The following is a 5741-nucleotide window of genomic DNA, read 5'->3' on the forward strand; positions in this document are numbered from 1 at the left end:
GGCTTCAACCTGTAATAACATTGTTTTATAGGAAATATGTAAAGTGTATACCCTTTATCATTATGTATACCCTTTATGTATATGTGTACCCTTTATCATTAAGTTAAACAAATATTTTGTTTCTGGTCAAAATAGGTTCTGGTCAGAATATTGAAATTCAGACCAGAATCTGGCCAAGAGGTTCTGGTCAGAATATTGAAATTCAGCAATCTGGGGGTGATAGAATTAAACAGAGTTTGACATATGCATTGTTGAGAATTAGAGAAACTTATAAAGTTTCAGGCTCTTGCTTCCTATTTTTTGAAAAATGTTCATGCAAGTAATGTTTTTCAGAAAAATGAAAAATTCTTTGGCTCATTTTCTTTTGTTATATATTGTCCTCCATGGCTTTATCTATTTTTTTTTTTTCTGAATGAGTCTATTGAAATTGCTCCAATAAACTTTTCGGGTAAGAACTTTTTCACAGCTTGATGATGACCTATAGGAAGAAACGTTTTTTGAGTGTACTTATCTGTGCTATGTTCTTTTATTTGTTTAATTAAGAAAATATCTATTATGAAATATAAGACACAGATAAGTGCAAAAAAATCAAGGTATAGTATAATGAATTGTTACAAAGCAAATATCTCTTTAAAGCATCCCAGATTAAAAACGAGAACATCAACAGCTTTCAGAAGTTCCTTTCTCCCAGATATTCTTTCATCTCAGAGAGTAGATATCACAAAATTAATTCTGTGGTTAAAATGCCCTTGATTATCTTTCTTGTTTAGCCACCTATGTGTGCATTCCTAGACAATACAGTTTTGGAAATTTATGTAAATGGAACCAGGCTACATGGAATATTTTTATGCATTATTCTTTTACTCACTATCACGTTTAAGACACATTCATCTTTACTTCATTTTGAGAAATCTTAATTGACTTCCACATGAAATAATTGTCAGGATTTCTTAGGGTTTACTCTTATCTATCACTAGCCATTATTTGTCTTGCCTCTTTTATTTCCTTTTAAATATGCCTGTGTTTGGTTATTTTAATGCACAGTTACAGATAAACTTTTTAATGCACAATTACAGATACACTCATTTATTTGCCATGATCCTGTTTCATGTGTAGAGGATTTTTGCCTTGCAGTTTTTCCTAGCTCTTGAATTATATAAATTTATAGTTTGCAAAGATTTTGAGCAGAAGGGAAAGAAATAGATGTTGCCCTTTAGAATGATTGAATCAACTTACTAGAGGAGCATATGGTATGAAGTATGGTATGAAAGGAGCTGACTGATAACAAGTTTTCAGGGAATAGGGTGTCTGTTTACAGTTTCAAGAGGGAAATCAACAAAGGAAGAAAAACAGTTGGCATCTTAATGTTTAGTAAGTAACCTTTTGGTTTTGTTGCTTGGAAAATTCAGCATTGTGACAAAACCACTGCAAACTTGTGACAGAGCTAGAGAAATAAGTAATTTTGATTGAAGAGTTTTCTACCCAGAATCCTTTCAGATGACATGATTATATTTTGAGCCCAAAAATATATGTTATGGTGAAAGAGAAAGCAAGAGCAGCTTTTTGTATTTCTTTCTATCGAGGACAATCCTATTGTTGATAGCAACGTGATTCCACAAACCCACAAATGTTTTACCCTCCATATTTCAGGATGCTTACTGTGGAGTCTCAGCATACAGATTTGACAGACACTTTATCCAATGAAGTCAGTGATAATAGAGTTGTTGGAAATTCAGTGGGAAAACTCAGAACAAAATTAAATATGAGATCCCATTAAAATAAAGTTGATGTGAATTAAATTCCAACTTTTTCTCTTTATTCCCTATCTTGATAGGTGGAACTGCTATTTACTCCTCCCTCAATTCAGAAATAAGGAATCATCCTAGACTTACCTTCCTTAGCTCACACATGCCACCAACTATCAAAGTCAATTGCTTTTTAAAAAAATTTCTTCATTATTGCATCTCCTCTTTTTTCCCCATTGCAACTGCCTTAATTTAGGCAAGCACTTAGCATCTAGTTGATTGAAGCTTTTCTTTCACTTTTGGCCTCTTTTTTTTTTTTATATATTTTAAGTTCTGGGACACATGTGCAGAACATGCAGATTTGTTACATAAGTATACACATGCCATGGTGGTTGGCTGCACCCATCAACCTGTCATCTACATTAGGTATTTCTTCTAATGCTATTCCTCCCCTACCCCCCACACCCCGACAGGCCCCAAGGTGTGATGTTCTCCTCCCTGTGTCCATGTGTTCTCATTGATCAACTCCCAATTATGAGTGAACATACAGTGTTTGGTTTTCTGTTCCTGTGTTAGTTTGCTGAGAATGATAGTTTCCAGCTTCATCTATGTCCCTGCAAAGGACATGAACTGATCCTTTTTTATGGCTGCATAGTATTCCATGATGTATATGTGCCACTTTTTTTTTTTTTTTTTTTTTTACTTTAAGTTCTGGGGTATATGGGCAGAATGTGCAGGTTTGTTACATAGGTACACATGTGCCATGGTGGTTTGCTGCACCCATCAACCCACCACCTACATTGGGCATTTCTCCTAATGCTATCTCTCCACTAGCCTCCCACACCCCAACAGGCCCCAGTGTGTGATGTTCCCCTCCCTGTGTCCATGTGTTCTCATTGTTCAACTCCCACTTATGAGTGAGACCATGTGGTGTTTGGTTTTCTGTTCTCGTGTTAGTTTGCTGAAAATGATGGTTTCCAGTTTCATCCATGTTCCGGCAAAGAACATGAACTCATCCTTTTTTATGGCTGCATAGTGTATGCATGGTGCAAATGTGCCACAGTTTCTTTATCCAGTCTATCATTGATGGGCATTTGGGTTGGCTCCAAGTCTTTGCTATTGTGAACAGTGCCGCAGCAAACATACATGTATATGTGTCTTTATAGTAGAATGACTTATAATCCTTTGGGTATATACCCAATAATGGGATTGCTGGGTCAAATGGTATTTCTGATTCTAGATACTTGAGGAATCGCCACACTGTTTTCCACGACGGGTGAACTAATTTACCCTGTCACCAACAGTGTAAAAGCATTCCTATTTCTCCACATCCTCTCCAGCATCTGTTGTTTCCTGACTTTTTAATGATTGCCATTCTAACTGGCCTGAGATGGTATCTCATTGTGGTTTTGGTTTGCATTTCTCTAATTACCAGTGATGATGAGCTTTTTTTTCATATGTTTGTTGGCTGCATAAATGTCTTCTTTTGAGAAGTGACTGTTCATATCCTTCACCCATTTTTTGATGGAGTTGTTTATTTTTCTTGTAAATTTGCTTAAATTCTTTGTAGATTCTGGTTATTAGCCCTTTGTCAGATGGATAGATTGCCAAAATTTTCTTACGTTCAGTAAGTTGCCTGTTCGCTCATGATAGTTTCTTTTGCTGTGCAGAACTCGTTAGTTTAATTAGATCCCATTTGTCAATTTTGGCTTTTGTTGCCATTGCTTTTGGTGTTTTAGTCATTAAGTCTTTGCCCATGCCTAGGTCCTGAATGGTATTGCCTAGGGTTTCTTCTAGGATTTTTATGGCTTTAGGTTTATGTTTAAGTCTCTAATTCATCTTGAGTTAATTTTTGTAGAAGGTGTAAGGAAGGGGTCCAGTTTCAGTTTTCTGCATATGGCTAGCCAGTTTTCCCAACACCACTTATTAAATAGGGAAGCTTTTTCCCATTGCTCTTTTTGTCAGGGTTGTCAAAGATCAGTTGGTTGTAGATGTGTGGCATTATTCCTGAGGACTCTGCTCTTTCCATTGGTCTATATATCTGTTTTGGTACTGGTACCATGCTGCTTTAATACTGTAGCCTTGTAGTGTAGTTTGAAGTCAGGTAGCAGGATGTCTCTAGTTTTGTTCTTTTTGCTTAGGATTGTCTTGGCTATACGTGCTCTTTTTTGGTTTTTTGGTTCCATATGAAATTTAACGTAGTTTTCTCTAATTCTGTGAAGAAAGTCAATGGTAGCTTGATGGGGATAGCATTGAATTTATAAAATACTTCAGGCAGTATGGTCATTTTCATGATATTGATTCTTCCTATCTATGAGCATGGAATATTTTCCCATTTGTTTGTGTCCTCTCTTATTTCCTTGAGCAGTGGTTTGTAGTTCTCCTTAAAGAAGTCCTTCATATTCCTTGTAAGTTGTATTCCTAGATATTTTATTCTCTTTGTGGCAATTGTGAATGGAATTGACTCAGGATTTGGCTCTCTGTATGTCTATTATTGGTGTATAGGAATGCTTGTGATTTTTGCACATTGATTTTGTATCCTGAGACTTTGCTGAAATTGCTTATCAGCTTAAGGAGATTTTGGGCTGAGATGATAGGGTTTTCTAAATATACAATCGTGTCATCTGCAGAGACAATTTGACTTCCTCTCTTCCCATCTGAACAGACTTTATATCTTTCTCTTGCCAATTGCCCTGACCAGAACTTCCAATACTATGTTGAATAGCAGTGGTTGAGAAGAGCAACCCCAAGACACATAATCGTCAGATTCATCAAGGTTGAAATGAAGGAAAAAATATTAAGGGCAGCCAGAGAGAAAGGTTGGGTCACAAAGGGAAGCCCATCAGACTAATAGCGGATATCTCTGCAAAACACCCTACAAGTCAGAAGAGAGTGGGGGCCAATATTCAACATTTTTAAAGAAAAGAGTTTTTAACCCAGAATTTCATATCCAGCCAAACTAAGCTTCATAAGCAAAGGAGAAATAAAATATTTTACAGATGAGCAAATGCTGAGATATTTTGTCACCACCAGGCCTGCCTTACAAGAGTTCCTGAAGAAAGCACTAAATATGGAAAGTAAAAGCTGGTACCAGCCAATGCAAAAACATACCAAATTGTAAAGACCATCAACACTATGAAGAAACTACATCAACTAACAGGCGAAATAACCAGCTAGCATCATAATGACAGGATCAAATTCACACATAACAATATTAACCTTAAGTGTAAACAGGCTAAATGCCCCAAATAAAAGACACAGACTGGCAAATTGGATAAAGAATCAAGACCCATCAGTGTGCTGTATTCAGGAGACCCATCTCACGTGCAGAGACATGCATAGGCTCAAAATAAAGGGGTGGAGGAATATTTACCAAGCAAATGGAAAGAAAAAAAAAAAGCAGGGGTTGCAATCCTAGTCTCTGATAAAACAGAATTTGAACCAACAAAGATCTAAAAAGACAAAGAAGGGCATTAAATAATAGTAAAGGGATCAATGCAACAAGAAGAGCTCTCTATCCTACATATATATGCACCCAATACAGTAGCACTCAGATTCATAAAGCAAGTTCTTAGAGACCTACAAAGAGACTTAGACTCCCACACAATAATAGTGGGAGACTTTAACACCCCCGTGTCAATATTAGACCAATGAGACAGAAAATTAACAGGGATATTCAGGACTTGAACTCAGCTCTGGACCAAGCAGACCTAGTAGACATCTACAGAACTCTCCACCCCAAATCAACAGAATATACATTCTTCTCAGAACCACATCACACTTATTCTAAAATTGACCACATAGTTGGAAGTAAAACACTCCTCAGCAAATGCAAAAGAATGGAAATCATAACAGTCTTTCAGACCACAGTGCAATGAAATTAGAACTCAGGATTAAGAATCTCACTCAAAACCACACAACTACATGGAAACTGAACAACCTGCTCCTGAATGACTGCCAGGTAAATAACAAAATTAAAGCAGAAATAAATAAGTT

The sequence above is a fragment of the Homo sapiens genome, chromosome 2 (assembly GCF_000001405.40).
Source record: "Homo sapiens chromosome 2, GRCh38.p14 Primary Assembly".
Lineage (NCBI taxonomy): Eukaryota > Metazoa > Chordata > Mammalia > Primates > Hominidae > Homo > Homo sapiens.